This window comes from Homo sapiens, chromosome 6 (assembly GCF_000001405.40).
Source record: "Homo sapiens chromosome 6, GRCh38.p14 Primary Assembly".
NCBI lineage: Eukaryota > Metazoa > Chordata > Mammalia > Primates > Hominidae > Homo > Homo sapiens.
In genome coordinates this window covers 25,818,166-25,833,749 of record NC_000006.12, presented here as the reverse complement: position 1 = coordinate 25,833,749, position 15,584 = coordinate 25,818,166, and the positions used below count along the sequence as shown (strand labels likewise).

Below are 15,584 nucleotides of genomic sequence, written 5' to 3'. Positions count from 1 at the left end.
AACAACCATTGAATGTTGTTGATAACATTCAAAAGGCCAAATGAAAACTCAAATGGCCAAATATTGATAATTATTGAAGTGGGTGAATATGTACACAGTTATCTTAAACTGATCTACTTTTTTGTATGCTTAAACATTTCCATAATAAAATGATAAATTTAAAAATTTAATACATAAAACACAGAATCCAAAAGAAACAATTTCAAAGAATCTCACAGAGCAGCAGAAAGCTTTGGGGCCAGCAAACAGAAAGATGGTTCTCCTTCAGGTAATCAGTATCCAGAACTGGGATACTGATGGCAGATGGGAGTGTTATTATTTAACACATGGACTTTGAACAACTGCTGACCTAGGGGTTTCAATCACTAAAAGGGCTCCTCTTTCAGAAAATGCCAGAAATTGCCCAGCATGAAACAGGACAGTACAAACATTCTGCAACACACAGAAGAGGACCAGCAGAATCTGGACTTTTGAAAAAGAAAAAATCTAACTGAATAACAACATCAAAGTCTCCTGGGCAAAGGGGTTAAAGATTTACAACATTTCTTTAGAGGAAAAAAATAACTGGTTGAATTTACAGAGCATCTGCTATGTGCCAAACATTTAATGAGCACTTTAAAAGCATGATAAAAATTAAAAAAAAACTTGTTAAGCATGAAATAAATTACCTATAATGCAAAATCACTGATTTTAGTGCTTGGATATTTTTAAGTAATTAGTAGATTACCTTCAAAGAGTTCTAAGTTAAAAGTATTAGGGGCCAGGCACGACGGCTCACGCCTGTCATTCCAACACTTGGGAGGCCAAGGCACAAGGATTGCTTGTGGCAGGAAGTTTGATATCAACCTGGGCAACACAGCAAGACCCTGTCTCTACCAATTAGCTGGGTACAGTGTTGCATACCTGTAATCCCAGCTACTTGGGGCTGAAGTGGAAGGATCCCTTGAGCTCAGGAGTTCAAGTCTGCACTGAGCTATAATTGCACCATAGCACTCCAGCCTGGGTGACAGTGTGAGATCCTGTCTCTCTATGTTTTTTTTTTAATGTTTCTGGATATTGCTATAACCAAGTGGATGAACCAGAACCTACAGTAATTGCAGGAAGAGCCATGAGAGAAGCCACACCTTCCAGAGGACATGCCTCAATAAAATGTACCTCTTTCTGAGTATGCTGAATGTCAAACAGATGTACTGTTTAGAGAGGAGTGTGGAGGAGACAGGGTGAGGGAAGGAGGGAAAGCAAGGAAGGAGGGAGAAGGAAGAAGGGAAAGAGAAGGAAGAAAGAAAGAAAAAAGGAAGAAAAGGAGGAAGAAAGGAAGGAAGGGAATTAAGAGTAAAAATTTAATATGGCATTTATGGGGCATTTAGAAAGCCACAACATTCCTGTGAGAACAGCATTGTATACTCAGAGCCATCCTTAATAGAGAAATCTTGAGAGCACTTATGGCAGGCAAGCTCTACCTCCTGGGCAGGGAGAGAGACTAAGGGTGTCTGCTTATTATGCCATGAAATTACTGGCAGATTCCCAGTTTCTGGTCCACTGGATGATTTTGACCCACACACCTTCCCTGAAGCTTTAAGGAAAAGGTAACAGTAAAGTTAAAAATTAAGCTTTTAACTTCGACACAGTGATGTCAAAAGATTTGGTGAATGATTTATGGGGCTAAACTTGGTAATCCTAGAAAGTCAATATTGTGTAAAGTTGAGAGAAAAGTCTTCACAGCGGAAGAAGAAATCACTTTTTTGTCCCGAATCAGGTTAGTCTACGGGGCTCATTAAATGAAATGAGCAATCAGTTGATTCCCCAGAGGGCCGTAAGGGGGCATTCCCTGGCAAAGATATTATTGAAAGTACTTAGCAATAGGGGAAAATGTGGGGAGGGGTGGAATATGCCCTATCTTCTGAGGCTTTTCACAAGAGAAAAAAGAACATATTTTTAGCAATCAGTGTGAGGTTCACAGGGACACAAGGAAAGAGAAGTATGTGTTGTACAGTGTGTGATGCTTGTATAGCTGTGGTGTGCTGTGTCTGTAATGTGTGTGGCACACTGTGTACGCCTGGTGCATCTGTGCCCATCATTTATGTGTGTGTGTGGTTATGTGTGTGGTGTTTGTAGTTTGTACTTCCGTTTTGAGGATGCAGTATTGTAACGTATTTATATGTTTGGTTTGCTATGTGTCTGGAGTGTATGTGTGGAGAACATAAGGGGAGTTTGTACCATGTGTTTATGTTGTATGTATGTATGTGGTGCATACGTATGGGTGGTTTGTGTGTGCATTTGGTGTGTATGTATATATGTATTGAAATAAACAGCAGCCCCAGAAGAGGTTCCAATGTGTGATAATGATGGTTGACAAATTGCTTATTCAAAAATATTTTGCAAATCCAATCTCAGGACTTTGGTATCTTTGGGGCACTAGGTATCATATAATCTGATATGGTAAAATCCTGAGGTCTAACCTGACCAGCACATATTGGTGCTGAATTCTGATGGTAAGGGGTTGCCTGATAGGAGACTGCTCCATTCTGATTCTCCACTGAGCTTCCTGCCATAAAGCTTTGCATCAGTGGCTGCTCTATCCACGGAAACTGAAGATACGGACAGGGGCATGTGGACGTGTAACGAATGATTAGCCTCTGCTTGAGTTGATCTTATCAATAAGCAGATAGTATCTTCCAGCTCTATTAAGATACAGGGGGAAAAAAGGAATTTGTTTTACCTTTGCTTACTCCTTTTCTGACATTCTTCCTTTCTTTTCATACTGCCGAGTTTCTGACCTATAGCAATCTCCTTCTGCCTGAAAGGCTTCTTTTAGTGTTCCTTACAGGGCAGGTCTACTGGCAATGAATTCTTTCCATTTCTCACTTTGGAGGAATATTATCACGGATTTAGAATTCTGGATTGGCAGGGTTATTTGTTTGTTCTCTGTAGTTTTCAGGTCTTCCATATATTTTTAATCAACCAAAACAATCACAAAAGTAAAATAAATATCAAGGGAAGCACATAATGGAGGTGAATGGGCACTGCTGTGATGGAGCAAGTTATCCTTGGAAGCGGTTTTAAATCAGAGAGGAGTACTGGGTAGTGTTTGGTCAGTTGCCTCTCTACATTATGCTGACATCAACGTGTTTTGCACTCACAGTGGGTGGAGGCAAAACCCTTCAGCAAGAAGAGAAGCAACTTCAGCCGTGTATGCAAATGGATAACCGGTTGCCTCCCAAAAAAGGTAGCACTTTATTCTGTTCCATTAAACAGGTGTTCTTTTTCTTAAATATTACATCACAGATTCCATGTGGAAGAATATTTTTGTGATATACATATGGGGTCTTAAAAATGTTCAGAAAAGAAGGTAGAAGAAACCAGTCCTACTATGGTTTTCCACCAGAAAAGCCCTAAATAAAAAGATTCTACATACTCTGGTGGCTTACACTTTATTTTCATTTTTGCGCACTTGTCAGTTTATCATTTAGTGGAAAATATCAGAAAAAACTGGGCTATTTTGGTTCCATCTCCAAGAGAAAGAGAGATAGATCTGTAAGTGGAAGTAAGGCAGGATGAATGTTCTTGAGTCCCTGCATTCTTGGACATCAACAGCTGAATGTGTACTGAATATTTTTTGAGAGAAGCTGTTTATTTTAGGCAGGGTAGTGTAATGACAATAAAGGATTACTGCTATTGGTTTAGCGTTGTGTCAATGTCATAGGGGACAAAATCCCAGAAAAGGAGATGAGCGATAGATTGTATACTTTTTCAACTTATGAAAAAGTTACTGTATATTAAATTATGTATTTCTTCTTGTATCAACTTTGATACTTAATTATTTTGATTGTTTAAGTTGTCCATTTAATCTGCATTCAAAGTTTATATATATATGTTTTTTTCTATATATTATTCATTTCTGCCCTTATGCATTTAATTCCTTTTAGACTTTTTGGGTTTGTTCCTTTGCTCAGTTTCCAAGTGTTTAAATTCTTTCTTTTTTGATAAATATATTTACAGATGCACATTTTACTCTGTCCATGAGTTTGATATGCGGTATTCTTATTACTCAATCCCAAACACTTTAGAATTCCCCCTGTGGTCTTCTTTTTAACTTAAAACTTGTTTAGACATAATTCATGGACTTCCTGGAGCAATGTGGAGGAGAGAAATGAGTAAAACTCAAAAGCATACCCCTAAATGACTAAGACAATGAGCCCTTCTCTGACATGGTGACAATGACTTCCCTTTTACCATGTAGAGACTCCTGCAGGTGTGTTTACAAAGTTTCTGATAGCTTTCTAGATCCATTCACTTCCCTATGATACTGAGTTTAGGCAGCAAATCAAAGGAAGGGCTGGCTGATGATTAAATTTCTCAGGGGTATTCTTTTACCCCCTTCTATTCAGCTCTTAAGTTCATATGGCACAAAATTTCTTGGCAGTCCACTGACAAGATAAGGGGGCAATGTGTTCATCCTCCATTGAACCATGTAAATCTTTGACATCCAAGCATTTTAGGAGAGGGTCTCCTACTATACACTATCGCATCGCTAGGACCTTGGTATTTGATTCCTGTTGTCCCCATATCATGGAAGGCCAAAAATCCCAAGATCAAAAGTCCACAGTGAAACATCTGACTTCAAGGCCCAACTTATGTTTTGAGGCCCCCATCTTCACTAAGCCCTTGGCCTGAATATTTCATCTTTCCTCTTAGATCACCCATGCTTTTAAAAAAATGGTTTATTTTAAGCATATTTTATCTAATATTCTTATCTTTTAACAACGGAAGCTCAGTTGGCCAGAAAACTAGCCAACTATTTGTTGGGTACTAATGCTTTTTTTCATTTAACAGTTTATCTAAAGAGTATTCCACAATTTTTGGCAGAGATTTTCCTTAGCATTTTTATAGCTGCAAATGACTTTGGTATGGATGGATATATTATAATTTATTTAAATGGTCACTGATTTATAAACATCTAATTTGTTTACAGTCTTTTGCTAGTTCAAACGATTCTATAAGAATGTTGCAAAATGATATAAAATTCAATTCGGTAAGATGATGTAAAATATTTATTATCTAATAAAATAGCTTCCAATATATAAAGCAAAATAGTCTTATGAAAATTATAAAGACACCAAATCCTAAATAAAATATTAACAGAACAAAACAAATCTAAGAATTTATAAAAACATTAAAAAAGCAACCACCAACACTAAGTCAGGTTTATTCTTAAAATAAAAGAGTAACTTAATGTTAGAAAATGTATACATGTCACTCCACACAAATTAATTGAAAGAGGAAAACAGTATGATTATCTCAATAGATATAAAAAATCTATTTATTTATGATATTAATATTTATTTGCAATAAAAAATTCTTAGTTAACTATGAATGTGCAGTAGACAGAATTCCAAGATGGCACCCAAGCTCCCTGGCCCCTGTTTTATTCTTGGGTGGAACAATGAGCACAGAGGATACAGCCCAAAGCCCAGAGGGTGGAGCCAAGAGCCACAAGAATTATCTCCAGACCTTATGAAAAATCCAACATTGGCCTGGCTGAACTTCAGAACCTTTATGGATCGATGACTCCTTTTCTCCTCTATTTTTCCCACCTTGGAACTGGAATGTCTATAGCTTTATCCTACACCTGTTCCACCATTACGTGGTAAAAGTGTTAGGGGCATATAACTTGTCTCTTTAGTTTCACAAGCCCACAGATAGAAATTGTGCCCTAGGAGGGATTAATCATAGGCCCCTCTTCCACACCTGATTTAGATGATGAGATTTTGGACTTTGTGCTATGAGATTTTGATGAGGTTTTGAACTTGAGCTGATAATGTAATAAGATGAAGAATTTGGGAAGCTTGAAATGGGTGAATATGTTTTGCACGTGAAATGAACATGAGTCTTTAAGGGCCAGATGGTGGACTGTAGTAGGCAGAATTCTAAGTTTTCTCTCAAGATTCCCAGCCCCTGGTGTATACACACTTTCTCCCAGTTATTTAAGCAAACATTAAGCTAGGTGCTGCTTCAAGGGGTTTTGCAGATGTATTATGGTCCCAAATCAGTTAATCTTAAATAGCGAAATTATGCAGTTAGGAGAGATCTAATCACATGAGCCCTTTAAATCTGGTTGTACAGGTCAGAGGCAGAGTAGCTAGATTCAAAGTGTGAGAGGGATTCAACATAAAGTAGGTTCCCATTGCTGATTTTGGAGATGGAGGGGGCCATATAGATTAACTTTGCCTGTTTTTGAACTTCATAAAACTAGATTCCTATAGTATATACTGTCTGGTATCTAGCTTCTTTAACTGAACATGTTTTTGTTGAAATTCATCCAGATTTATCCAAATTGTTGTGTATAAGTAGTTCTTTCCTTTTATTTCTGAGTAATATGCATTGTATTAACATACCATGATATGTCCATTCTTTCCAAACATTCTGCTATTTTGAATAAATCTACTATAAACATTTCTGTATGTGTTGTTTTGTAGACATATACCTGTATTTCTCTTGAAAAAAATGCCATTTGTTGAAAAACACTTTACTTTCCTCCAATGGATTGCATTAGTACATTTATTTTTAAAAAGTTAACCATATATGTGTATCTGTTTCTGGACTCCCTACTTTCTTCCATCAATGAACTTGTTTGGCTGTACACCAACTGATTACTCTAGCTTATATCAATAAGTAATTACATTTTTTTAAAATGCCATTTTTTTCTCTGCATTGGGCATATATAAGTCTTTCAACCAGAGTATTTTTTAAATGTTGGAAAAGGAATAGTTTTCTTGACAGAAAATGTCTTTGTTGTAATTAGGGGGACTTATGTCCAAGAGTAACACAGGGTATTTATAAAGGGTCTTTTAAAAAATAGACTTGAGCCAAAGAACTTGAAAGATTGGCTTGATTTTCTTGGAACTTCTAGCTGGAAATACAATTTTAAGGAGAATATGGTATTATTATATCAGTCTCACATCTTCTTATTATATAATAATTATCAAAGGTCATTAAGTACAATAAAATTTTAAATTAATATCTAGGGCTCCAAATTTCTGAATGTCCCTCCTATAGTTAAAGTATGTTTTTATCTCAGCTCTGTCAGCAATTGCGACTTTCTGTTTTACTTTGTAGTTCCAGGTTTCTGTTCCTTTCGCTATGGATTGTCTTTCCTTGTGCACTGTTGTAATGTTATAATAACAGCACAGCGTGCGTGCCTGAACCTCACAATGGTAGTCATGGTGAATAGCACAGATCCACATGGTTTGCCCAACACCTCCACAAAGAAGCTCCTGGATAATATAAAGGTACATCAATAATTTTCCCCACAGTCAAATGTTTAAAAGCCTGTCTTGCTAACTAATTTGTGTAGATATGGAATTGTACTGATATGATACTATATTTGAAAAAGAAGCTCAAGTCTTCATCTACCTTGCCAGGAGTGACCTAAATAAAATGTCCCATGATTAAAGTATGCCTCAGTATTTCTGAAGGGCTTGTTGTGTAAATCCTTCTATGTGAGAGAGAATAAAACCCAAGAGTTAGGGCTTCTTTACAATCAAGAAATTTGGACAAGAGGAAAAAAAGGGAAAGCATTTTAAATTAGGAGTGGAAGGTGAAGACACATTACATTTTTAAAGTTTTTGACTTGCAGGATATTTAAATGTTTCATTAATTTCATCTCTGGAAGATAATCAGTTGTTATCTACCAGAAGATGTAGATGCAGCAAAAAATAAAAACAAGATAGGTAATGTCAGTAAAGAGATGGAAACTATAAAAAGAATGAAAAAGCAATACTAGAAATCAAGGAAATTATAACAAAGAATGCTTTTGAGGGGCTCATCAGTAGACTCCACACCACTGAGGAAATAATTAGTGAACATGAATATGGGTCAATAGAAACTCCCAAAGTTGAAATGCAAAGAGAAAGAGAATTTTAAAAAATTAACAGATCTTTCCCAAATTGTAGACAGTATCAAATGGTGTAACATGTGCATGACCAGAATGCCAGAGAGAATAGGAAACAAGAAATATTTTTTTCAAAAATTGGCTGAGAACTTTCCATAATTAATGACAAACATCAAACCACAGATCCAAGAAGCTCAGAGAACACCAAACAAGATAAATAGCAAAAACAAAAACAAAGAAAAGCCACCTAGGCATACCATATTTAAATTGCAGAAAACCAAGACAAAAAGAACATTTCAATAAAACCAGAGGAAGAAAATACCTACAGAGGAACAAATATAAGAATTACAGCAGACTTCTTATCAGAAACCATGCAAATAAGGAGAGAAAAGTGAACTTTTTAAGGTGTTGAAAGAAAGAAAACCCCTGCCAACCTAGAATTCTGTATTCAATAAAATTATTGACAAAACTGAAAGACTGTAAAATTTCAAGCTGTAGCTATAACTTGAGAAAGCCTTTATTGTCTTTCAATTTTTGTCCTTCAATTTTCCCTTCATATATACGAATTTACTGCCAGCAGGCTTACCACAAAAGAAAAGTTAAAAGATGGTAGATTTTAATCCAACTATATTGATAATCACTTTAAATGTGAATGTTCTAAACACACCAGTTAAAAGACAGAAATTGTTAGAATTGATAACAAATAAAGATCCTCAAATATTCTATCTACAAGAAATCCTGTTAAAATATAAAGACTCAGATAAGTTAGAAGTAAAGGGATGAAGAAAGATGTAAACTATGCAACCATGAAAACACAAATCAAAAGAAAACTGAAGTAGCTATATTAATTTTAGACAAAGCAGAGTTTATAGCAATGAAGATAACCAGAGATAAAGAGGGCATTACCCAATGATAAAAAGAGTGAATTATCCAAAAACAAATGATTCTAAACATGTGTATCCCTAACAACAGAGCAGCAAAATATAGGGGGCAAAAACTGTGAGAACTGAAAGGAAGAATAGAAAAATACATACTTGGTAACTGTTTTCTATTTGTTAAATCTGTTCTTTGTTAATTTTTTTTTCATTCACATTTTGCCTTCTCTGGGTTTAACTGAGCATTTTATATGACTGAATTTTATCTCCTCTCTTGATATATCATTTATACCTGAAAAAACTATTTTAATAGCTTCCATAGGTTTTATAATATACATTTGTAATAATACAAATCTACCTCCAAATAACACTATACTATTTCATGTATCATGAAGGCATCTCGTAACAGAATATTTCCAATTCCTCTCTCCCATCTCTGTGACTACTGTTATTCATTTTATGTATCTATATGTTATAAATACTCAAAACATTCCTTCAACAAAAAGTTATCTTTTAGATCAATTCAAAATAAAATATTTTCCACTTTCATTTATTCTTTTTTAAATTTTTTGTTTATTTATTTATTTTTTAATGGCATGAAGGGCATCATAGTTTATTTTTAAAAATTGTACCACACTGATCATGATGACCAGCATACACATGATAATGGCATTTATTCTTTTCTAATGGTCTTACTTCTTAAATGTAGATCCACATTTTTTAGCTATATCACTTTTCTTCTGCCTGAAGAACTTCTCTTAACATTTTTTTGTGGGTTGTGCTTTTGTTGTTGCATATAAGAAATCTTTGCATAACCCAAGATCAAAAAAAATTTTCTGTGTTTTAGAAGTTTTATAATTTTTCATTTTACTGTTAAATCTATGATTCATTTTGAATTACTTTTTGTACATGTTGCATTAAATATCTTTTTTTACATATGGATGTACAATTTTTTTCAGCCCAATTTGTTGAGAAAACTTTTCTTTCTCCACTGAATTGCCTCTGAATGTTCATGGAAAATTAGTAGTTGGAGGTGTAACACTACCTACTGCTAATTTTAAGACTTACACAGAGTTATAGTAATAACGACAGTGTAGAATTAGTGTAAAGACAGAAAATAGATCAATGAAATATAATAGAGAGACTGACACACATATGAACAACTGATTTTTCAAGATATGCAAAAGAACAAACATAAAACTGAACTTCATCAGAATTTAAAATACTGTTAAGATAATGAAAAAACAAGCCAGTGACAGGGGCACATATTTGCTAATCATATCTTATAAAGAACTTCTATCAACACTCAATTAAAAAACACAACCCAATACAAAAATGGAAAAAAAAGATGTGAACAGCTATTTCACCAAAGGAGATACACAGAGGAAAAATACTCACATGAAAAGATGCTGTATATCATTTGACATTGGAGACAAACATCAACTACAAAGATAAATTACTGCACACTGATTCAAATGGCTAAAATTGTAATGATTGCAAATATAAAGTGTGTGCAGGAATGTGGAGGAACTAGAATTCTCCTACAGTCCTGGTGAGAATGCAATGTGGTACAACCACTTTGGAATACACTTTGTCATTTCATAAAAAATTAAGCATATGCCTACCATATGAGACAGCCATTCCACTGCTAGTTATTTACTGAAGAGAAATAAAAGCATATGTCCATTCAGAGACTTGTACATAAATGTTCTATAAACATTTTTGTCTAGCTTTATTTCTGATAGCCAAAAAACTGGAAATAACCTATATGTCCATCAGTAGGTGAATGATTGAACAAACTATGGCACATCCATAAAATGGAGTACTACTTAGCAGTATAATGGAATGAACTACTGACACAAAGAACAACATAGATAAAACTGAAGATAATTATGCCAAGTGAAATAAGCTAGACAATAAAAAAGAGTACATACCGTAGCATTCCCTTAATATAAAACTTCTAGAAAATGAAAACTAAGTTACAGCGACAGGCAGCAGATCAGTGGTGGGGGAGGGCAGGAGGGAGGAATTACAAAAAAAATAGGAGGAAGTTTTTGGAGATAAAGAATATGTTCACTGTCTTAATTGTGGTGATAGCTTCACAAATATATATATAGATACAGTTTATTGTGTCAATTATCTATTTTACATAAAATCTATTCTGTATGAAATCTATTTTGTATAAAATCTATTTCATATAAAGTGTTTTGAATTATATTCTTAAATATTTATGATATTCCAGTGCTTTGGTTTAAATACTGAGAACCTCATATTCTAGAGAAATGGCTACTCACGGGAGTTGTATTTTAGAGCCTTCACTATGGCTCTAAAAGAGGAGGGAGCTCTTGAGCTATAGAGCTTGAAAGATTTCTCTAGCACATGCATCAGCCCGCCACCCCATGAAACCTTTTGCCATCCCATGAAATTTCCTGTCACAATTCAGTTTACTGCTACATAAGGTACTACATTTAAAAATGAAGAAATAGAATACATAATTATTCTAAATAGAAAAACACACCAGAAAATTATTCCACAAAGCAGATCTAAATTGTAGTCTAACATTACAAAATAACCTAAAAATTAGTAAAGCAGTTATAGCTATGGAAGGAACACCATAGTGCAGTATCTACAATAACTCAAAGTAGACATGGCCAGACCACAAGAGGCTTTGCTTGGAGAGCAGATGAATGAAAAAAGGAAATTGACAGGAAAGGAATATGAAAAAGTCAAAACAAACATTTTAGAAAAAAAGACGAAATAAGAAAAACACGGAACAGACACACACAGATATTTTACCACAGTAAGAAACACTGATTATAGAAAAGAAGATGACAAAGAAGGTAGATGAGGAATATTCTGTAGTCAGTCTTCCCTCTTCCATCAAAGTCAAGGAGATTGTGTCATTATTCTTTTTTAAGTGTACCAACTTGACAGTTAGAAATTCTACCATAATTTTAAAGTATATATTCTTTTATTACTAATGGGATTACACATTTGTATATTTCTGTGACCTATGTTTATTGATCATTTCCATTTTGTTCTCTTATAAATTATCTATTGATACCTGGATACATTTTCCTTACTGAGGTATTATATATTTCTTATTCATTTATATGACTCATACAAATGAGTATATATATTTCTAAGATTTACTTAGAGTCATTTATACATTTATATGTGGAGTACTTTGTTCAATGGCAACTAGTTAATGCACTGTATAGAAAAATATAAACTGAGGATTTATCTTTCTGGTGTGAGTAGTTTCAGTATGAGCTCAGGGGATTTAAACCAATTCTGGTGAACTTTTTTTATTTTCTACATTCTGCTGTGGAGAGTGATGGCTTTAAGCCATAAGAAAAACTATCCAAGATTTTGAGTGATGTGTTCACATGCACAGGGAGAGTAGAACAAATGCCTGCTGGCCCACCTGATATGGGTAAGGGTGAATATTGACTTCCTTGGTGCTTCCTGTGATTAAAAACAAGAAAAACAAAACAAAACAAAACCTGGCTGAGCATTCTGCTTCATCTTCTGTGTAGCCTCCTTCCTCTCAGTGGAAAAGATCTGGAACTTCCCTGGCACCCAGGCTACTATAAGGATGTGCCTCACTGGTTATTATTTGGTATTCTCAGAGAGTCACTCCTACCAGATTTTTCCATGGAAGTCCTTTTCCATCCAAGAGAAATATTACACTCTAGAGGCCACAGCTATAGGGTGACAGTGACTTGAAAAGGAGAGAAAAAAGAAGAATGGAGGGATAATAGTGATGACAACAAACATATGGATTCCTACCTATTTTATTTAATATTCAACCAAAAATAACATCCAGCACATTCACTGTTTATTCAGGAAACTCTTCGTTATTTAATATGTTCCTCCTAATTATGCAAGTAACAGAGAAAGTTTAGAAAATGCCACTATCCTAGACACTTCCAAATAAACTTTATCCTGTCCTCCTCTACTACCATTAAGATTTCTTCCTGTTAAGTGGGTCCAAAAACTTGTGCAACCTCGTCCCTCATAGTCTCAACAATAAATTCAATATTAGGATTTTCTTTTATCATTCTTTTTTTTTTTTTTTTTTTTGAGATGGAGTCTCACTCTGTCGCCCAGACTGGAGTGCAGTGGCGCGATCTTGGTCACTGCAAGCTCCACCTCCCAGGTTCACGCCATTCTCCTGCCTCAGCCTCCCGAGTAGCTGGGACTACAGGTGCCTGCAACCACGCCCGGCTAATTTTTTGTATTTTTAGTAGAGATGGGGTTTTCTAGTAGAGACGGGGTTTCACTGTGTTAGCCAGGATGGTCTCGATCTCCTGACCTCGTGATCCGCCCGCCTCGTCCTCCCAAAGTGCTGGGATTACAGGCGTGAGCCACCGCGCCCGGCCATCATTCTTTAATAATGTAAAAAGAAACAATAGAAGGCCCTCTAACCTAGGAATGGACTAACAAATACATTTCTGGAAAAAATATGCCACATCAGAACCAAGTGAAGGAAGAGAAATGGCCTTTTTCTTTTTATTGTTCTGTGCAGTTGTTTTCACAGTTCAGTCTGAGAATTCTTCATGGTTTTATCTTCTCTCTTTCATGACTTTGCTCTCTGGGAGCAATATGTATATGGGGAAAAGTGATTTTGCGAATGAGCTTAAATTAATGGAGGAGTTAGAGAAAGCAAACAGGGAAGAGGAAATTCACAACTGCAGTATGAGTAGTACTATGAAGTACAGGAAATTAACTATTTAAATGTATGTATGCTACACAGGAGGAGTTTACATGCAGTTTAGCAACATTCAAGAAACAAGCATTAAATGTCTATGCTGTGAAAGGTACTGGAGGGAGGTACAGATGGTGTCCTTGGCTGTGAGGACTTTACATTACTCCAATGATAAAATGTAAATATGTACAGAAAATGGTGTGATAAAAGAATAAAGAAGGTCCTGTGATAAAGAATACTAGTAAGAGGGGAGCTACTTTCCATGAGGTGAGCCAGAACAGTTTCCCTGAATCCCTAAATGTCACAGTAAATTTCTGATATGCAGAGTGATTCGACATGTCCCCCCTTGTCTTTTAGAACCCTATGTATAATTGGAGCCCAGATATCCAGGGAATCATCTTGAGTTCCACCTCCTATGGTGTCATCATCATCCAAGTTCCTGTTGGATACTTCTCTGGAATATATTCTACAAAGAAAATGATTGGCTTTGCATTATGCCTCAGCTCTGTGTTAAGCCTGCTCATCCCACCAGCAGCTGGAATTGGAGTAGCTTGGGTCGTTGTATGTCGAGCAGTTCAGGGAGCAGCCCAGGTATTAAAATAATGCTAAAACTGAACAGAGTTTAAATTCACAGGAAGTATTAGAGATTAAATGTCAAACCTTTCTCATTTCAGGGGATAGTTGCAACAGCCCAGTTTGAAATATATGTCAAATGGGCTCCTCCCCTGGAACGAGGCCGACTTACTTCTATGAGTACATCAGGTAAAGAATTAAAGCCTAGAATGTTTGAATCCTATCTTCATCTCATTGTATTACATTCTTCCCTAGAGCCATAAGAAATGTGTGTTTTGAATGGTCAAGGGCTTTGGAAATCATCTGTTTCAGCATTCTTGCTATGAAGATGAGAGAATTGTATAGAATGGAGAAGAGCCATCCTTATCTCAAACAACAGAGAAAAAGAGAGAAAAGAAAATATTTTTATTATTTTCTTCTGATGTTTGTGTTATGATACACAAATTTGTTTCACAGGAAATTGTTCATTGCTACAGTGAGGCTACATTATCTCTGCTTTCAGATGCCTGCATTAATTAGGGGTGTTCTTTGTACCTACTGATTAGGGTTTTTGCTGGGACCCTTTATTGTCCTACTTGTGACTGGAGTTATCTGTGAATCTCTGGGCTGGCCCATGGTCTTCTATATTTTTGGTGAGTCTCTTTCTGTAAAATCCTAGTTATTATTCAGAATCTAAAAAAATTTAAACATTAAAACCCAATATAATGTAATAATTCATATAAAGTTAATATTAAAAATCATGAACTCCACTGAGTGAAAGAGAGAAGTCAATACTCATTAAGTTCCTATCACAAGCAAGGTATTATGCTTAGGACTATACATGTATTTTTGTACATAACTTTTATAATTCTATAATGTAGGCGATATAGATGCATATGCTTTTATATGAAACTCTCCAGGAAAAGGATGATCAGAATAAATAAGTTTACAGATTTCAGAAATATGTTACTTTTTATACTTAACATTCAAAGCATGATGTGGAGCACTACCACATAATCAAACACATTAATTTCTACAGTAAAAAATGAAATCTGTGCAAACTAGAACACACAAAAAAACTATAAAGAAATAAGGTTTACAAATAAGTGATAAAATCACTTTCGGCTCTCTGATCTTGGTTTCAGGTTTGTGAATAAGAAAATGTGGATAGGTTCTATTATGTCCATTTGATACGTGAGGAAACTTCAAAAGGCTTAGGTAACTTGATCAAAGTCATATACTTAAGGCAAAATTGGAAGAATTTATTTACAAAGTGATCACTTAAAAAGGTAGGTATGAGATCCGGTGAAATTCTAGGAATAGTCCAGTTACCTGGGGCTAGCGATACAGGAGCTCGGAATATCTAGCATCCCCAGGTCCAAAGGCATCAAGCAAGGAAGTAGTTATCAGAATCCATTAGGAGAGCCCTATAGAGCAGGATGCCTTCAAAGAACTCATGATTTTTCATAAAAGGACACATAGATTGAGGCAATCATAAGACAGAGCTAACCAGGGTTTGAAAAGACACCTTGATCTCACTCAATTCTCTCCCTCT

General features: G+C 35.4%; 1 protein-coding gene across 7 annotated transcripts in view; it reads left to right on the top strand.

Annotated features, from left to right (window-relative positions):
* Positions 1 to 1,697: 1,697 nt before the first annotated feature.
* SLC17A1 (solute carrier family 17 member 1) overlaps positions 1,698 to 15,584 on the top strand; it is a 108,310-nt gene continuing 94,423 nt past the window's right edge. For 5 of the 7 annotated variants that reach the window (XM_017011201.3, XM_011514818.3, NM_005074.5 and 2 more), the window contains exons 1-6: positions 1,698 to 1,756; positions 3,143 to 3,226; positions 7,117 to 7,289; positions 13,835 to 14,068; positions 14,152 to 14,239; positions 14,596 to 14,682. In XM_017011201.3, coding sequence (XP_016866690.2) covers positions 3,193 to 3,226; positions 7,117 to 7,289; positions 13,835 to 14,068; positions 14,152 to 14,239; positions 14,596 to 14,682 — 616 coding nt within the window. In that variant the 5' untranslated portion in view covers positions 1,698 to 1,756; positions 3,143 to 3,192. The remainder of the gene's footprint in view (positions 1,757 to 3,142; positions 3,227 to 7,116; positions 7,290 to 13,834; positions 14,069 to 14,151; positions 14,240 to 14,595; positions 14,683 to 15,584) is intronic. The other 2 variants (XM_011514819.3, XM_011514821.3) reach the window with 2 other exon arrangements.